At 48.8% G+C, this 19,192-nt stretch overlaps 1 pseudogene, besides 1 other annotated feature; it reads left to right on the forward strand.

Annotated features, from left to right (window-relative positions):
* Positions 2,100–2,624: an enhancer, noted in NCBI's record as "H3K27ac-H3K4me1 hESC enhancer chr7:75700542-75701066 (GRCh37/hg19 assembly coordinates)". NCBI's record gives its function as "activates a minimal SCP1, AML or CMV promoter by ChIP-STARR-seq in primed H9 embryonic stem cells {active_cell/tissue: H9 hESC(primed)}" and the evidence as "EXISTENCE:reporter gene assay evidence [ECO:0000049][PMID:30033119]".
* Positions 18,320–18,423, forward strand: RNU6-863P (RNA, U6 small nuclear 863, pseudogene; annotated as a pseudogene).

Raw genomic sequence — 19,192 nt, forward strand, 5'->3', positions numbered from 1 at the left:
TTCTGGTTCCATCTCAGAAATTCAGCTCTAGCATCCTAAAGGGAGGACCTGGAATGTAGAATATCCTAGATTCTTTCAGATGATGATGAAGGGGCCTGGAGATACTGGCCGTCCCTGGGCTATTCACCCTCTAGCTCCTGCCTTCCAGGGCTAAAGACGAGTCAGGTACTGAGAATCCACAAGACAAACACAGAGGAAGTACCGTGGGACTCCAGAGGAGGGCAAGGTTACTTCATGTCTTGGCAGAGCATCAAGGAGGACTTCCCCTATCAAGATCTCTAGGAGGAGGGAAAAGGAGGAGGAGGAGATGGCATACGCTCTGGCTCTGCAGGCTGGGCAGGATTTCAACCAGCAGGGAGGGTGGGATGGGCGTCATAGGCAGCTGCCGGAGCAGACAGGCTGAAGAGCTTGTGGATGGCAGGAACAGGGCGTCCCAGGAGCTGAGCAGGATGGTGACACGGTGGCCAAGGCTGCTCACACTCCACCAAGGACGGGTTGGCAGGGGGGTCCCTGGAGCCTGCTGCTGGGCCCAGATTCTGATTTTTTTAATTTAAATTTTTATTTTATTTTGAGACGGAGTCTTGCTCTGTCGCCCAAGCTGGAGTGCAGTGGTGTGATCTCGGCTCACTGCAACCTCTCTGGCCCAGGTTCAAGCAGTTCTGCCTCAGCCTCCCAAGTAGATGGGACTACATGCACGCCACTACCACAGCCAGATAATTTTTGTATAGTAGATGGGGTTTCTCCATGTTGGTCAAGCTGGTCTCAAACTCCTAACCTCAAGTAATCTGCCCGCCTTGCCCTCCCAAAGTGCTGGGATTACAGGCGTGAGCCACCGCACCCGGCCCAGATTCTGCATTTTCTAGTCAGCTTCCCAGCAATGCCTGAGCTGCAGGTGCACACGAACTAGGAGTGACGTGAAGGCAGGGACCACTCGGATGCTAAAGACCAGAGATGGGGTGGTGGTGAGTAGGAGGGGGGATGATAGGGACATGGAGGAGAAACAGCATCTCCCAGCACCATTTCTGCCACCCAGAACTCCATCAGGAAGTTGTCAGTGTGGATGAAACTCACCACACGTCTACTTCCAAGCTCCAATTATCCGTCCTCCCATCCTTCTGGCCACCTCCTCACACAGAACTCCTGTCCTCCTCTGTGAGGAAAAAAAGACCAGTGGCTGCATGTATGGTGTTAAGGACCAAAATGATGTGGCCAAGGCCTTTGCCACGGGAAGCCAAGAACCAGTCTTTGTTTTTTGTTTTGTTGAGACGGAGTCTCGCTTTGTCGCCCAGGCTGGAGCGCAGTGGCAAGCTCTCGGCTCACTGCAACCTCTGTGTTATGAGTAAAATGTTTATTCAGAAACAAAATGCTTCTTCCCCAGTACTGCAAGGAAAAATCAGCATTTAGACAAAGAAGTTTTCTCAGTAAGGTAATTTTACTTTCTGGAGAAAAGAGGGAAGCAATTTTTATCCTTTATGCAGCTTGTCCTTGCTACTGTGTGTTGTCTCCATTGACTGGAGCTAGAAATTACAATTTAAACTGAACCTGATTGGCTAACAACTTAAAACACTGCTAAATAGGTAAAACTAATGGAGAATAAAGAAAAAGAGGAAGTTGCTTATGAAAAGACATAGAAAAGTTATAACATTTCCTGCCGGACGCGGTGGCTCACACCTGTAATCCCAGCAGTTTGGGAGGCTGAGGTGGGCGGATCACGAGGTCAGGAGATCGAGGCCATCCTGGCTAACACGGTGAAACCGTGTCTCTACTAAAAAAATACAAAAAATTAGCTGGGCATGGTGGCACACGCCTGTAGTCCCAGCTACTTGGGAGGGTGAGGCAGGTGAATCGCTTGAACCTGGGAGGCAGAGGTTGCAGGGAGCTGAGACTGTGCCACTGCACCCCAGCCTGGGCAACAGAGTGAGAGACTGTCAAAAAAAAAAAAAAAAGGACATTCCAAAATAAGGAACGCAGCAAGCTAAGACATCCCTGTGAGCACAGCCAGCAAACATACCTTGGTTTAAGTACAAGAACATAGACTGTACTATGTGCCTGTAAGCATGTGTAGCACAAATATATTGTTTAAAGTACAAGGACATAGACTGTACTTACTCTTTTCTATCTAACAGCTACACAGTATAGGGCTTAACAGTTATTAGCACAAAGCAAGGAGGTCTCAAGGAAGCTAATTTTTAAAAAATTATTTCTAAAACTTATGATTTATTCTTTATGAAGAAGGGAAACTTTGAAAAGGAAACTTTTAACATTGTACACTCCGCCTCACGGGATCAAGAAATTCTCCTGCCTTAGCCTCCCGAGCAGCTGGGATTACTGGCACCCACGGAGAAACCGCTGTCAGGCAGTGGCTGGGACTCTTCAGGCCGCCAGGGAGCCGAAGGCGGGGCCTGAGAGGCCTCACTTCGAGGAGCCTGGGGCCTACAAAGGCTGCCAGGAGCTGGGCAGGAGCTGGGCCGAACGTGGCTGTTGCGAGGCAGGAGCTGGGCCGGCAGGCGCAGCCGGCAAGGAGAGCTGGGCCTGGAGAGGCTGGCTGGAAACACTTCTGGGCCTGGAGAGGATGGCCAGAGGCGAGAGCCGGGCCCGTGGAGGCTGCCCACAGGCAGAACACGAGCCTGGCCTGAGGCGGCCATGCTGAGGCAAGAGCTGGGCCTGGTGGGGGTCCACTGTGAGGAGGCAGAGGCCGTGCCTCAAGTCCAGGGGCCTACGACAGGCAGGAGCTGGGCCTGGCGAGGCCGACTTCAGGACACTTTGGGCCCGCACAGGCCATCGGCCGGGGGGCAGCAGCTGGGCCCTGGAGGGGCCCACTTGAGAAACCCTTGGCCGGGAGACGCCGTCGGGGCGGGCGGGAGCTGGGCCTGGAGAGGCCACCGTGAGGCTTGAGCTGGACCTCCAGAGCCCAGTGAGAGGCATGCGATGGGCTTGTCGAGGCCGCTGGGAGGCTGGCAGGAACACGGCCGGGGAAGGCCACCGTGAGGCAAGATCTGGCCCCGGGGAGGCCACTGCGAGGCCACAGGTGGGCCTGGAGAGCTGGGCTGGAGGAGGTTTTGGTCGTACGAATGCTGCCGGGATCTGGGCACGAGCCGAGTCAGAAGCAGCTGTCTGCAGGCTGGGGCTGGGCATGGAGGCGCAGCCGCGAGAGAGTGCTGGGCCTGGAGAGTAGGCTGGGAGGCAGCCACCGGGCCGTGGTGGTGGCTTGCCAACTTGGGCCTGCAGAGGCTGCCACGAGGGAAAAGCCGGGCCTCTGAAAGAGGCCGTTCAGAGGGATGAGCCAGGCCTAAAGAGGTCATCGGGATGCAGGAGCCGGGCCTGCGGAGGCCGCCAAAAAGCAGGAGCCTGGCCTGGGGGAGGTCACGGTGAGGCACGAGATGAGCCCAAAGAGGCCGTCGGGAGGCAAGAGCCAGGTCTGTCGGGGCTGCCGCGAGGCAGGTGGCAACGTGGCCTGGGGAGACCGACGTGAGGCACGAGCCGGGCCCGGAGAGGCCGCTGTCACGAGGAGCTGCGCCTCTCCAGGCCGCCGGGGAGCCGAAGGTGGGGCCTGAGAGGCCTCACTTCGAGGAGCCTGGGGCCTACAAAGGCTGCCAGGAGCTGGGCAGGAGCTGAGCCGAACGTGGCTGTTGCGAGGCAGGAGCTGGGCCGGCAGGCGCAGCCGGGAGGGAGAGCTGGGCCTGGAGAGGCTGGCTGGAAACAGTTCTGGGCCTGGAGAGGCTGGCTGGAAACACTTCTGGGCCTGGAGAGGATGGCCAGAGGCGAGAGCTGGGCCCGTGGAGGCTGCCCACAGGCAGAACACAAGCCTGGCCTGAGGCGGCCACGCTGAGGCAAGAGCTGGGCCTGGCGGGGGTCCACTGTGAGGAGGCAGAGGCCGTGCCTCAAGTCCAGAGGCCTACGACAGGCAGGAGCTGGGCCTGGCGAGGCCAACTTCAAGACGCTTTGGGTTTGCACAGGCCATTGGTTGGGGTGCAGCAGCTGGGCCCTGGAGGGGCCCACTTGAAATAGCCTTGGGCCAGGAGATGCTGTTGGGGCGGGCGGCAGCTGGGCCTGGAGAGGCCACCGTGAGGCGTCAGCTGGGCCTCAAGAGCCCAGTGTGAGGCAGGCGCTGGGCTTGTCGAGGCCGCCGGGAGGCCGGCAGGAACACGGACGGGGAAGGCCGCCGTGAGGCAAGAGCTGGGCCCGGGGAGGCTGCTGCGAGGCCACTGGTGGGCCTGGAGAGCTGGGCTGGAGGAGGTTTCGGGCCTACGAAGGCCGCCGGGATCTGGGCACAAACCGAGTCAGAAGCGGCTGTCTGCAGGTGGGGGTTGGGCCTGGAGGTGCAGCCGCGAGAGAGCGCTGGGCCTGGAGAGGAGGCCGAGAGGTAGCCACCGGGCCGTCGCGGTGGCTTGCCCACTTGGGCCTGTAGAGGCCGCCACGAGGGAAAAGCCAGGCCTCTGAAAGAGGCCTTTCAGAGGGACGAGCCGGGCCTAAGGAGGCCATCGGGATGCAGGAGCCAGGCCTGCGGAGGCCACCGAAAGGCAGGAGCCTGGCCTAGGGGAGGCCGCGGTGAGGCACGAGATGAGCCCAAAAAGGCCGATGGGAGGCAGGAGCCGGGCCTGTCTGGGCTGCCGCGAGGCAGGTGGCAACGTGGCCCGGGGAGGCCGACACGAGGCAAGAGCGGGGCCCGGAGAGACCGCTGTCAGGCAGGAGCTGGGCTTCTCCAGGCCACCAGGGAGCCGAAGGCGGGGCCTGGGAGGCCTCACTTCGAGGAGCCTGGGGCCTACAAAGGCTACCAGGAGCTGGGCCAAACGTGGTTGTCGTGAGGCAGGGGTTGGGACCGCTGGACGCGGCCCGGATGGAGAGCCGGGCCTGGAGAGGGCCACTGGAAACAGTTCTGGGCCTGGAAAGGATGCCGGCAGTCAAAAGCCAGGCATGGATAGACCACCAAAAGGCAGGAGCTTGGCCTGATGCGGCTAGGATGAGGCAAGAGCTGGTTCCAGGGGGGCTGGTGTGGGGCAGAGGCCGTGCCCCTAGGGGCCTACAACAGGCAGGAGCTGGGCCTGGTGAAGCCAACTTCGGGATGCTTTGGGTGGGCCCGCAGAGGCCATCAGCAGCAGGCAGGAGCTGGGTCTAGAGGGGTCATCGTTCAGTAAGGGAGCTTTGGGCCGGGAGACACCATCGGGGTGGGCGGGAGCTGGGTCTGGAGAGGCCACCGCAAGGCACAAGCTGGGCCTACAGGGACCAGCATGAGGCAGGAGCTGGGCTTGTGGAGGCTGCCCGGAGGCCGGCACGAGGGGGGTCGTGGAAGGCCGGCACGAGTGGGGTCGTGGAAGGCTGCCGCGAGGCGAGAGCTGGGCCTGGAAAGGCCGCTGCGAGGCAAGAGGCGGGCCTGGAGAGCTGGACTGGAGCAGGCTTTGGGCCGATGTAGGTTGCCAGGAGCTGGGCAGGAGCCGAGTCAAAGGAGGCTGTTTGGAGGCAGGAGCTGGGCCTGTGGGCGCAGCCATGAGCAAATAGCTGGGCCCGGAGAGGAGGCCGGCAGGCAGCAACTGGGCCGGGGGAGGCCGATTTGAGGAAGTTCTGGGCCTGGAGATGTCGCCAGAAGGGAAAAGCTGCGCCTCAAGAGGCCGCGGTGAGGCAAAGCCAGGCAAAAAAAGGCCATCGGGACACAGGAGCTGGGCCTGCAGAGGCTGCCGAAAGGTGGGAGCATGGCCTGGGGAGGCCACGGCGAGGCACGAGATGAGCCTCTTTAAGAGGCCCTCGGCAGGCAGGAGCTGGGCTTGCCAAGGCTGCCGCGAGGCAAGCGGAAACGTGGCCTGGGGAGGCCAATGTGAGGCCACAGCTGGGCCAGGAGAGGCCTTCATCATGGCTCCGGCGTTGGGGACCCTGCTCAAGTACATCCAAAAGGACCCTTCCCACACCAGTCTTTATAGCGGTCAAGTGCAGCAGCCACTTAGCACCCAAGGCATGTGCCACAGCTGGCATTTCATCACAATCAACAATAAGTGGTAGCTTGAGTCATTGTGAGGTCACTTCCTGGAAATCAACAGCATCCCATGTCCCATTGGCAAGGAGCTCAGCACGGCCCCTTGGATAACCAAATCTATGCCCAAATCCCATCTGTGTGGGTCTGTCTCCTGGGATCCTTCCCAGCATCAACTCTGTATTAGTCAGGGTCCAATCAGGAGACATAAACCACTCAAAAGTCCAAAGTCCTAAAATTTAATACAGACAATTATTCATTATAACAGGGGAACAGCATAATGAGAGATTGGCTAGCACAAAGTAAAGACAATTCTAGAGAATATAGGACTAGCCAAAGTCAGGCATGGTGGCTCATGCCAGCATTTTAAGAAGCCAATGCAGGAGGATTGCTTGAGGCCAGGAGCTAGAGACCGGCCTGGGCAACACAGTGAGACCCTGTCTCTATCCAAAAAAAGAAAAAAATTAGCTGGGTGTGGTGGTGCATACTCATAATCCCAGCTACTTGGGAAGCTGAAGTGGGAGGGTAGTTTGAGCCTGTGAGGTCAAGGCTGCAGTGAGTCATGATTATGGCACTATAGTCAAGCCTGGGTGACAGAGCAAGACCCTGTCTCAAAGAACAAAACAACAACAACAACAATTTACAGACAGAAAAGAAATAGGGTTAATAAGGTATAAGGAAAGATGTTGAAATGTGACAAAGTAATATGACGGCTTTCATCCATTTAAAATCATCAAACAAAAAATAACTTATTAAATTATAATACCCTGTGCTGGCAAAGATGCAGTGAAACGGGCATTTTCTTATACAATAAGGGGTGTTTAAACTGTATATAAGCCTTTCAGGGTAAAGCTTCCAATTTTTTATTTATTTATTTATTTTTTGAGATGGAGTTTCATTCTCATTGCCCAGGCTGGAGTGCAATGGTGTGATCTCGGCTCACTGCAACCTCCACCTCCCGGGTTCAAGCGATTCTCCTGCCTCAGCCTCTGAGTAGCTGGGATCACATGTGTGTGCCACCACACCCAGCTGATTTTGTATTTTTAGTAGAGACAGGGTTTCTCCATGTTGGTCAGACTGGTATTGCACTCCAGAACTCAGGTGATCCACCCACCTCAGCCTCCCAAAGTGTTGGGATTACAGGCGTGAGCCACCACATCTGACCGGCAATTTTTTTTAATAATAGAGACACTGTCTCACCATACTGTCTCCTCCAAGTCCTGGGGTCAAGCAATCCTCCTGCCTTGGCCTCCCAAAGTGCTGGGATTATACCTGGGAGGCACCCAAAACCTTGACAATTTACATCAAGGACAATGAGAATGTCCATTCACCATGACTCACAGTAATCTTTCTTCTGGAAATACCTTCGAAGACAACTGAACCTAAACAAAAAGTCATCTGCACAAACACAGTGAAAATCTGGGAGTAACTGAAGACAGAGTGGTTAAGCGAAATAAGAAACAGTTATAAGAAATTAAACTATCTATGGTATTTATAGGCACCTGGTAGAAGGTCAGTTAATGTTAGCTAGTACTTTTTGTTGTTTTGAGACAGGGTCACTCTGTCACTCAGGCTGGAGTGCAGAGTCCTGATCATGACTCACTGCAGTCTAAGCCTCCCTGGGCTCAAGTGATCCTCCCACCTCAGCCTCCCAAGTAGCTGGGACTACAGGAACATGCCATCACACTAGGCTAATTCATGTATATTTCTGTAGGGATGGTGACTCCCTTGATTTCTGAGGCCTGTCTCAAACTCTTGGCCTCGAGCCATCCTCCTGCTTCAGCCTCCCAAAGTGTTGTGATTACCGGTGTGAGCCACCACACCTGATCAGCTGCTACTTTTATATTATACCACTAAATTCAAAATTATTTGTCATTAAAAATTATCATTTTCAAGGCTATGGAACAATATGTGTCCTACAGTGTAACTGTAAAAACATATACGGTCATCCCTCGGCATACAGAGAGGATTCGTTCCAGCCCCCCATCTCTGCATATACCAAAATCCATGCATACTCACATTTCGCAGTCAGCCCTTTGGAACCCATGTATAGGAAAAGTCCAAATATTAGTTGGGCATTGTGGCAAGCACACACAGTCTCAGCCACCTGGGAGGCTGAGGTGGGAGGACTGCTTGAGCCTGAGAGGTCGAGGATGCAGTCAGCTGTGATAGCACTACCACATTCCAGCCTGGACAACAGAGCAAGACCCTGTCTCAGGAAAAAAAAAAGAAAAAAGAAAAAAGGTTAGAAATTCTAATGACGTCTGTTGGGCAAAATTCCATATAAGCAAAGTATAAATTAATGAAGCAATTGGTGATAAATCACTACGATTGACTTTCTGGAGTTTCTGACAATAAAGGTAAGAAAAATGCAAAACAAAGAGACAGAGGGTAAAAAAACAAATTAGGGAAGGATTCTACGTGTTAAATAGGATGACACTGGCCATGTTCATGCAGCAGAGGTATGTCATATTATGACATAACTTCTTGGAAAGAAGTTAGCAGATAAGGAAGTTGACAAAAATGATGAGAGATGCTAAATACTGATAGCGACAGTCAAGTAAACCACGAAGAATTTCCATAACTGACATCAGCAAAGTGGGAATATTGTGCAGTGTGTGTTGAAGTTCCTGTACAACATTATTTGCCTTCTGTTTGTTTGTAAGGAATGTATTTACTAAAAGTTCTTCTTGCTGTCAAAAAAATATGTGTAAGTCATTAGAACTTATTCTTCTGTTTTTCTACTTTTATCTTCTGGCCATCATCCCCCAGCCTTAATTCGGAAATTTGTTTATTTTTAGAAAATCGAACAAGTGTTTGCTGTGGTGGCTAATACCTCTAGGATGGGAGGCAGGGGTGGAAGGGTCACTTGAGGCCAGGAGTTTGACACCAGCCTGGCCAACAAAGTGAGACCCCATGTCTACAAAACAATTTAAAGAATAGCCAGGTGTCATCATGTATAACTACAGTCCCAGCTACTAAGGAGGCTGAGGCAGGAGGAGCCTTAGCCTAGGAGTTCAAAGCTACGGTGAGCTGTGATTGCACCACTATACTCCAGCCTGGGTTGCAGAGGAGACCCCATCTCCCAAAACAAAACGAAAGAAAGAAAGAAAAGAAGAAAGAAAGAAAGAAAGAAAGAAAGAGAAAGAAAGAAAGAAAGAAAGAAAGAAAGAGAGAAAGAAAGAAAGAAAATAGGTAAAGTAGCAAGTTGTATGTGGCTTACTCTGAATATGTCTAAACTACATGTTCTCAATCTTTTCGAGTCTTGCATCCCTTTACATTTTTTAACTCTATTGAAGCTCTCTTAGGACTTTTTCTTTATATAAATAATTATATTAAAATTAGAAAATAACACAAAAATTTTAAAATATTCATTACATATTAATAATAAAACCATTTCATGTTGATATAATACAGAACAAATTTTTAAAATATATATTCATTACACATGAATAATAAAACCATTACAAGTTGACATACGTAATACTTTTTTTTTTTTTTTGGGAAACAGTCTGACTCTTTCACCCAGCTGAAGTGAAGTGGCACAATCTTGACACACTGCAACCTCCGCCACCTGGGTTCAAGCAATTCTCCTGGCTCAGCTTCCCAAGTAGCTGGGATTACAGGCGCCCAACACCATGCCTGGCTAATTTTTGTGTTTTTTTTAGTAGAGATGTGGTTTCGACATGTTGGCCAGGCTGGTCTCAAAATCCTGACCTCAGGTGATCACCTTGGTCTCCCAAAGTGCTGGGATTACAGGCATGAGCCATTGCGCCCATGCTAATATATATATTAATATATATGTATGTGTGTACATATATATTTATATAAATATGTAGTGATATATTTATATAACTATATATTTATATAACTATATATTATGACTATATATAAATATAAATTTATATAAATTTATATAAATATAAAAATTTATAAATTTATATATTTATATAAATATATAGTTATATAACTATATTTATATACCTATATATTTTTTTTTGAGACACAGTCTCGCTCTGTCCCCCAGACTGGAGTACAGTGGCACAATCTTGGCTCACTGCAAGCTCCATCTCCCAGGTTCACGCCATTCTCCTGCCTCAGCCTCCCCAGCAGCTGGGACTACAGGTGCCCACCGCCACGCCTGGCTAATTTTTTTGTATTTTTAGTAGAGATAGGGTTTCACCGTGTTAGCCAGGATGGTCTAGATCTCCTGACCTCGTGATCCGCCCGCCTCGGCCTCCCAACAGATTCATATATTTTTTAAAACACTGATTAGTCAGGCAACAATACTGGGGAGGGGTCTCCTCATTCCCAGTGATGCAAACCCCACTGCACGGCTCCAGGGTTGCAAGGGCTACAGAGCCAAAAGGCTCTAACTTATGATTTCATTACTTTATTTGTATTGTGAGACAGGGTCCTGCTCTGTCGCCCAGGCTGGAGAGCAGTTGTGCACTTATAGCTCACTGAAGCCTCGACCTTCTGAATTTAAGCCATCTTCCTGCCTCAGCTCCCCACTGGCTGGTACCACAGTTGAGTGCCACCATACCTGGCTATTTTTTAATTTTTTGTAGAGTGAGGGGTCTTGCTATGTTGCCCAAACTGGCCTCAAACACCTGACCTCAAGAGATCTGCCCACCTCAGCCTCCTGAGTAGCTGGGACTACAAGTACACATCAACATGCCTAGCTACATTTCATTTTATTAAATTTTGAAAAACATTTTTATTGAGAGTAGGTCTTGCTATATTGCCCAGGCTGGTCTCGAACTACTGCCCTTAAAAGATACTCCCATCTCTGCCTCCCAAACAGGTGGAACTACAGGCATGAGCCACTGCACTGAGCGTGAAGAGATTTCTTTAATCTACTATCCCATACTTAATAGGACTGGGAAAGGCAGTAGTGTTTTTTAAAATTACTTAATAATTCAGTAAGAATCTAACACAACCTTGACCCCTGCCTTCTCTCACACCCCACATCCAGTCTGTCAGGAAATCCTGTTGACTGTCTTCAACATGTACTGAAGATCCCCACCCAGCAACTCCCTGGCCTCCTCCCCAACTTCTCTCCTCTGACTATCTCTCACCACCACCACGACCCTGGTCAAGACCACTATCATCTCCCACCTCGATGTTGCCACAACTTGGCCCCCATGCTTCTATCCAAATCTTCCCACAGTCTTTCTCAACTCAGCAGCCAGAGAATGCTTTTAAATCGGCAGACAGATCATGTCGCCTCTCTGCTCAGAACCCTCCTGAATTTCCCATCTAGCCCAGCAATAACCTCCCAGGGCTTACACAGTCTGTACCGATCCCTGCCCAGCAAATCTCTGGCCTGCTGCCCTAATTTTCTCCCTCTCTCCTTCTGCTCCACTAGCCTCCTTCCAGAGCCTCAGACACACCTCAGACACCTTATTCCGTTGTTTCTGCCTACAATGCTCTTCCCACAGCACCTTGGCCAACTCCTTCCCCTCCTTCAAGTCTTTGCTTAATTTTTACTTAGGAGGCCACCCCTGACTATTCTATTGCCATCTGTCCCCTTGCCCACCATGCTCATTTATTCTTTTTTTTTTTTTTTTTTTTTTTTGTGAAGACAAGATCTCACTCTGCCACCAAGGCTGGAGCGCAGTGGTGCAATCACAGCTCACTGCAACCTCTAATTCCCAGGCTCAAGCAATCCTCCCACCTCAGCCTCCCTAGTAGCTGGGACTACAGGTGCATGTCATCAAGCCTGGCTGATTTCTTTTATTATTTTATTTTATTTTATCTTATTTTAAGATGGAGTTTCACTCTTGTCGCCCAGGCTGGAGTGCAATGGTGCGATCCTGACTCACTACAACCTCCACCTCCCAGTTTCAAGGGTGTCTCCTGCCTCAGCCTTCCCAGTAACTGGGATTACAGGCGCATGCCACCATACCCGGCTAACTTTTGTATTTTCAGTAGATATGGGGTTTTGCCATGTTGGCCAGGCTGTTCTCGAACTCCTGACCTCAGGTGATCTGCCTGCCTCAGCCTCCCAAAGTGCTGAAATTACAGGTGCAAGCCACCGTGCCCAGCCATTTTTAAAATTTTTTGTAGAGACAGGGTCTCACTATGTTGTGCAGGCTAGTCTTGAACTCCTGGCCTCAAGTGATCCTCCTGCCTGGATTCCTAAAGTGCTGGGATTACCAGCATGAGCCACCATGCCTGGCTTTATGTTCATTTCTTCTTGTGGCTGCAACAAACTTTCCTACATTTAGTGGCTAAAAACACCACAAATAAACCATCTTACAATTCTTGGGGCCTTGAAGCCCCAACTAGGTCTATTAAAGCTAAAGTCAAGGTGTCAGCAGGGCTGCATTCCTTTTGAAGGCTCTAACGTGTTCTCTTGGCTTTTCCAGCTTCTAGAAGCCACCCCCATTCCTTGGATCATGGCCCCTTACTCCATCTTCAAAGCCAGAAGTGAAGCATCTTCAAATCTCCCTCTCTGACCTCGACTTCCATCACCACATCTCCTGCTCCAGTTCTGACTCTCCTACCCTCTTTCTTTTATAAAGATCCTTGTGATTCACCTGAGGTCAAGAGTTCGAGACCAGCCTGAACAACAGGGAGAAACCCCGTCTCTACTAAAAATACAAAAATTAGCCGGGCATAGTGGCGCATGCCTGTATTCCCAGCTACTCTGGAGGCTGAGGCAGGAGAACTGCTTGAACCCAGGAGGCAGAGGTTGCGCTACGGCACTCCAGCCTGAGCAACAAGAGCGAAACTCCGTCTCAAAAAAAAAAACAACCAAAAAAAAAAAAAATCCTTGTAATTGCTGGGCATGGTGGCTGCCACCCATAATCCCAACACTTTGGGAGGTCAAAGCAGGAGGAACACTTGAGGCCCAGAGTTTGAAACTAGCCAGGACAACAGTGAGACCCCACCTCTACAAAAAAATAAAAATGAATATTAGTCAGACATGGTGGTGTGTGCCTGTACTCCCAGCTACTTGAGAGGCTGAGGTGAGATGATCGCTTTAACCCAGGAGTTTGAGATCAGTCTGGGCAACATAACTAAATTTCATCTCTACAAAAATGAGTTGGGCATGGGTGACATGCATGTGTAGTCCCAGCTACTTGAGAGGCTGCTGTGGGAGGATCACTTGAGCTCAGGAGGTCAAAGCTATAGTGAGCTATGATCACATCACTGCACTCCAGCCTGGATGACACGGGGAGATTTTGTCTCAAAAAAAGAAAAGAAAAATATATTTGGTCTCTGTCCCTGGTTCCTGGCACAGAGCTTCTAAAGCTTTTATAAAGACCTCAGTGTTAGAGGTGATAGGAGCATCTTTTGTTTTAATATTTGGTCTTTGTCCCAGATTTCTAACCCAAGAGCCTTTAAGAACTTTGGGATCTCCAGCATGATAAGAATGCATTTGGGGGTATTGTTGAGATGATGAGTGGCTGCAAGCTCCTAGATTTCTTTAGGAGGAGGGCTGATTGCCAGAAAAAGCAACCACATGATTAGAGGCTTGGAACTTTCAGTCTCACCCACTTAACTCCAGGAGGCAAGACTGGCTGGAGACTGACTTAATCACCAGTGGCCAAGGATTTTATCAATCGTGCTTGCATAATAAAGCCTCCATAAACACCCTGAACAACAGGGATTGCAGAGCTTCTGGGTTGCTGAACATAGGAGATGCTGGGAGGGTAGCATGTTCAACAAAGTGCATGGGAGCTCTGTGCCCCTCCCCACTTACCCTGCCCCGGGCATTTTTTTTTTTTTTTTTTTGAGAAAGTGTCTGGCTCTTTTATCCAGGCTAGAGTGCAATGGCACAATCTTACCTCACTGCAACCTAAGCCTCCCCAGATCAAAACATCCTCCCACCTCAGCTTCCCTAGTAACTGGAACCACAGGTGCACGCCACTGCGCTCATTTATTTATTTATTTATTTATTTATTTATTTATTTATTGAGACGGAGTCTAGTTCTGTAGTAACTGGAACTACAGGTACACATCACCCCACTCAATTTATTTATTTATTGAGACAGAGTCTAGTTCTGTCGCCCAGGCTAAAGTGCAGTGGTGTGATCTCAGCTCACTGCAACCTCCACCTTCCGGGTTCAAGCGATTCTCCTGCCTCAGACTCCTGAGAAGCTAGGATTATAGGAGCACGCCACCATGCCTGGCTAATTTTTGCATTTTTAGTAGAGACGGGGTTTCACCATGGTGGTCAGACCGGTCTCGAACTCCTGACCTCGTGATTCGCCCACCTTGGCCTCCCAAAGTGCTGGGATTACAGGCTTGAGCCACCGTGCCCAGCTTTTTAAAAATTTTTTAGAGACAGGGTTTCACCATGTTGCCCAGGCTGGTCTCAAACTCCTGAGTTTAAGCAATCCTCCCACCTCGGCCTCCCAAAGTGCTGGGATTAGTGTGAGCCACTGCATCTGGCATGTACATCTCTTTCATCAGCTGGATAATGTATCTGCGATGTATCCTTTACAAAGATGTATCCTTTACACCGCTGGATCTGCAGTGCATCCTTTACAAGGAACCAGTAACAGGAAATGAACTGGCCCGATGTGGTGGTTCACATCTGTAATCCCAGCGCTTCAAAGAGGCTGAGGTGGGAGGATCACTTGGGCCCAGGAATTTGTGGCCAACCTGTGCAACATAACAAGACCCCATCTCTACAAAAAATAAATTAGCCAGAAATAGTGGCGCAAGCGTGTAGTCTCAGCTACTAGGGAGGCTGAGGTGGTCAGGACCACTTGATCCCAGGCAGTCGAAGCTGCAGTGAGCTGTGACTGCACCACTACACACCAGCCTGGGCAACAAAATGAGACCCTGTCTCTCAGAAAAAAAGGAAACAAACTGTTTTTCTGAGTTCCGTAAGCTGTTCTAGCAAATGATTAAACCCCAAGAAGGGGGTCATGGGAACCCCTGATTTGTAACAGGTTGGTCAAAAGTATAGGTGACAACCTAGGACTTGCCATTGGCATGTGAAGCGAGGGTGGTCTCGTGGGACTGAGCCCGTAACCTGTGGGGTCTACACCAACTCCAAGAAGTGTCAGAATAAAATTGTGGGATACCCAGTTAATATCCAGAGCATTGGAGAACTTGGTGTAGAAATTCCACACACACATTCAGTCAGAAGTGTGTGAGTAGAGACAAACACGGGCTTTTCTTTCACCTGTCTACCTGCTTAACTGCATAGGAGAGGCAACATGTGGTGCTCATGAACAAAGCAAACATTAAAGTCAGACCAGACCCAACATTTGACTCACTCTTAATATCCAGGTGAGCTTGGGCAATCACTCATCATTCCTAAGTCTTCATCACTTCATTCACAAAATGGGGATAACTGTGGCACCTACCTGTGATTTTGTGAGAATTAATGAAATATTATGCTTGATGTTATTGTGATCATTATACCTATTCCAAACTATCTGACAAGGACAGTGATAGACGATAACATCAAAAGATTAGAAACTGTAATGAGGTCTCTTGGGCAAAATTCCATACAAGCAAATTACTCTCTCTCCAAAGCATTCCTGCCACAATTAATTCACCATTCCCTGAATAAAATGTGCCATCTTTATTGACCAGGTCTTTACAGTGCTGGTTTCCCTGCTTGAGCAGCTCACTCCATCTCAGCCCATTCCCCATCCCTCCACCTCCCCCTTCTCTGCCCACTCTCATACAATTCTTCCTCATCTTTCAGGACCCAGCTTCAATGTCACCTTAACTGGATGCTTCTCTCACCCTCCAGAAGTGCTTCTTATTGCATTGGATGCATGCACTATTATTTGATCATTTTTGAGTCATAGTCCAAGTCTTTTTGTAACTGAATAACATGTTGCCCAATCAGTCTCTCTTCCTGGACTCTGAAGTCTTTCATGGTAGATCCAGCTGGAAGTGACAAAAAGATATTCTTTAAAAAAAAAAAAAAAGGGATGACACAGACAGACACAAGTTCTTAAACGTTTTAAATGGTATGTGAAAAGCAAACAAAATTCAAAGCCTTATGGGGAACACTTAGGAAGGAAAGAATTACTGGGAACTTCATAAAGGGTTAATTTTTTTTTTTTTTTTTTTTTTTTTTTTGAGACAGTCTTGCTCTGTTGCCCAGGCTGGAGTGCAGTGGCGCAATCTCGGCTCACTACAAGCTCTGCCTCCTGGGTTCACACCATTCTCCTGCCTTAGCCTCCCGAGTAGCTGGGACTACAGGTACCTGCCACCAAACCTGGCTAATTTTTTGTACTTTTAGTACAGATGGGGTTTCACCGTGTTAGCCAGGATGGTCTCAATCTCCTGACCTCGTGATCTGCCTGCCTCGGCCTCCCAAAGTGCTGGGACTACAGGCGTGAGCCACCATGCCCAGTCTAATTTTTATTTTATTTTATTTTTTGAGACTGAGTCTCATTCTGTTACCTATGCTGGAATGCAGTGGTGCAATCAGGGCTCACTGCAGCCTCGACCTCCTGGGCTCAAGTAATCTCCCCTAATTTTTATTTAAGAAATTCAGTCTTGGTTGAGCGTGGTAGCTTACGCCTGTAATCTCAACACTTTGGGAGGCTGAGAGGGGTGGATTACTCGAGCCCAGCAGTTTGAGATCAGCCTGGGCAACACATTAAGACCCTGTCTCTATGCAAAAAAACAGAGTGAATTTATGAAAGGCAATTTTTCCCACAGACTGGTGGTGGAGGGAATGACTTCAGGATGATTCAAGTGCATTACATATATTGTGCACTTTATTTCTATTATTATTGCATTGTAATATACAATGAAATAATTCTACAACTCATGATAATGTACAATCAGTGGGATCTCTGAACTTATTTTCCTGCAACTAGACTGTCCATCTGGGGCGAAGGGAGAAACAGGCATTAGATTCTCATAAGGAGCACGCAACCTAGATCCCTTACCTGCACACTTCACAACAGGGTTCATGCTCCTATGAGAATCTAATGCTGCCGCTGATCTGACAAGACATGGCGCTCAGGTGGTCATGTGAGCAATGGGGAGGGGCTATAAATACAGATGAAGTTTCCCCTCACTCACCTGCTGCTCACCTCTGGCTCTGTGGCCCTGTGGATGGAGACCCCTGCTCGAGTGCATTCGTAAGTATCCATCCCATACCATTCTTCAGACTCATCTATACTGCCGCAGTGGTCAAGTGTAGCACCCTTAGCTTGAATGGCATATGCCTCGGCTGGCATTTCATCACAATCAACATTAAGTGGTAGCTTGAGTCATTGTGAGGTCACTTCCTAGAAATCATCAGCATCCCATGTCCCACTGGCAAATAGCTCAGCTCTGCTCCTTGGATAACCAAACCTATGCCTAAATCCCATCTGTGTGGGTCCATCTCCTGGTACCCTTCCCAGCATCAATTCTGTATTTCTAGGAGTCCAATCAGGAGATATAAACCACTCAGAAGTTTAAACTAAAATGGGCATAGTGGCTCACACCTGTAATCCCAGCACTTTGGGAGGCCAAGGCGGGTGATCGCTTTGAGCTCAGGAGTTTGAGACCAGCCTGGGAAACGTGGCGAAACACCGTCTCTACAAAAAACACAAAAATTAGCCAGGCGTGGTGGCACATATCTGTAATCCCAGCTACTCAGGAGGCTGAGGAAGGAGAATTGCTTGAGCCTGGGAAGTGGAGGTAGCCATGAGCAGAGATCGTGCCACTGCACTTTAGCCTAGGTGATCGAGTGAGACCCAGTACCAATAAAAAACAAAAAAAAAGTAAAAAAATATATATATATATGTAAATTTAATATAAAAAGTATTAATTATAACAGAGGATTGGCGTAATGAGTGACACACTAGCACAAATGAAAGACAACTCTAGAGAATACAGAACTAGCAGAGGCCAGGCATGGTGGCTCATGCCTGTAATCCCAGCAATTTGGGAAGCCTAGGCAGGAGGATCGCTTGAGGACAGGAGTTGGAGACCAGTCTGGGCAACATAGTGAGACCCTGTGTCTACCAAAAAAAGAAAAAAAATTAGCCAGGTGTGGTGGTGGTGCACACCTATAGTTCCAGCTACTTTGGAGTCTGGGGTGGGAAGATCCCTTGCGCCTGAAAAGTCTAGGCTGCAGTGAGTATGGGTGGATTTTGGTGTACACAGAAATGGGGGAGCTGGAACTAATCCCCCCAATATACCAAGAGACAAATTGTATCTGTTTTTACAATTATACTGTAGGATACATTATGTTCCATGACAATGGTAATTTTTAATGACAGTTTTTAATTGAGTGGAATTACCATAAAAATAATAAAAGTAGCAGCTAATATTTACTGAGCTGTTACTAGGTGCCTATAAATACCATAAATTTTTAAATTCCCCATAACTCTTCCTTATTCCACTTAACCACTTTATCTTAAATTACTCATGCTTGCTTCAGTAGCACGTATACTACAGTTGGAACAATAGGGAGATTGGCATGGCCTCTGTGCAAGAACGACATGCAAGTTTCTGAATCATTCCATATTTTTTTTAAAAAGAGAAAAAAATTACATCCGGATTTTCACTGTGTGCATATGACCTTTTGTTTAGGTTGAATTATATCCAAAGATGGTATTTCCAGAAGTGAGATTACTGTGAGTCACAGGGCGTGAGCATTCTTATTACACTTGATGTAAACTGTCGAGCTTTCAGGCATGGTGGCTGTCTGCTTATAATTCCAGCACTTTGGGAGGCTGAGGTGGGAGGATTGCTTGAGCCCAGGAAGTTGTGGCTGCAGTGAGCCATAATTGCACCACTGCACTCCAGTCTGGGCAACAGAGTGAGACAGAAGGTTGACTGTTTAATAGAATTTTTCTGTTGACTTGAAGATATGGCCATGACTGTGCCATATGAAAATTCTTCATAAAATAATTATCTCATCCAATTAAATGTTGGAATTGGGAACAGAAAATGTTTTGGTGACTATTTATTCCTTCACTTGCTATTACAGAAACTACTGCCAGTGGGCACTTAACAACCAAAAGTGTCATCTCTGAGCTACTCACAATGAAAGGTGATGTCTGGGGCCCAGGTGTGTTGAGGTCCCCATGTCTGGGCTATGGGTGCTGAGTGGGACTTACTTGTCCATCCATTTTCTATATTCCAGCACTGGGAAACTTGGGTTTATCCATCTTGATAAGAGGTCATTTAAATTCCACCTGGCAAAAACCACAAATGGAAAAAAGGCAATGAAACTACAGGCTAGCCCTTGTTCTCAAAAGAATATTTAGCTTAGGTGGTTCTGTAAAAGAGGAATCA

Source organism: Homo sapiens, chromosome 7 (assembly GCF_000001405.40).
Source record: "Homo sapiens chromosome 7, GRCh38.p14 Primary Assembly".
Taxonomy (NCBI): Eukaryota; Metazoa; Chordata; class Mammalia; order Primates; family Hominidae; genus Homo; species Homo sapiens.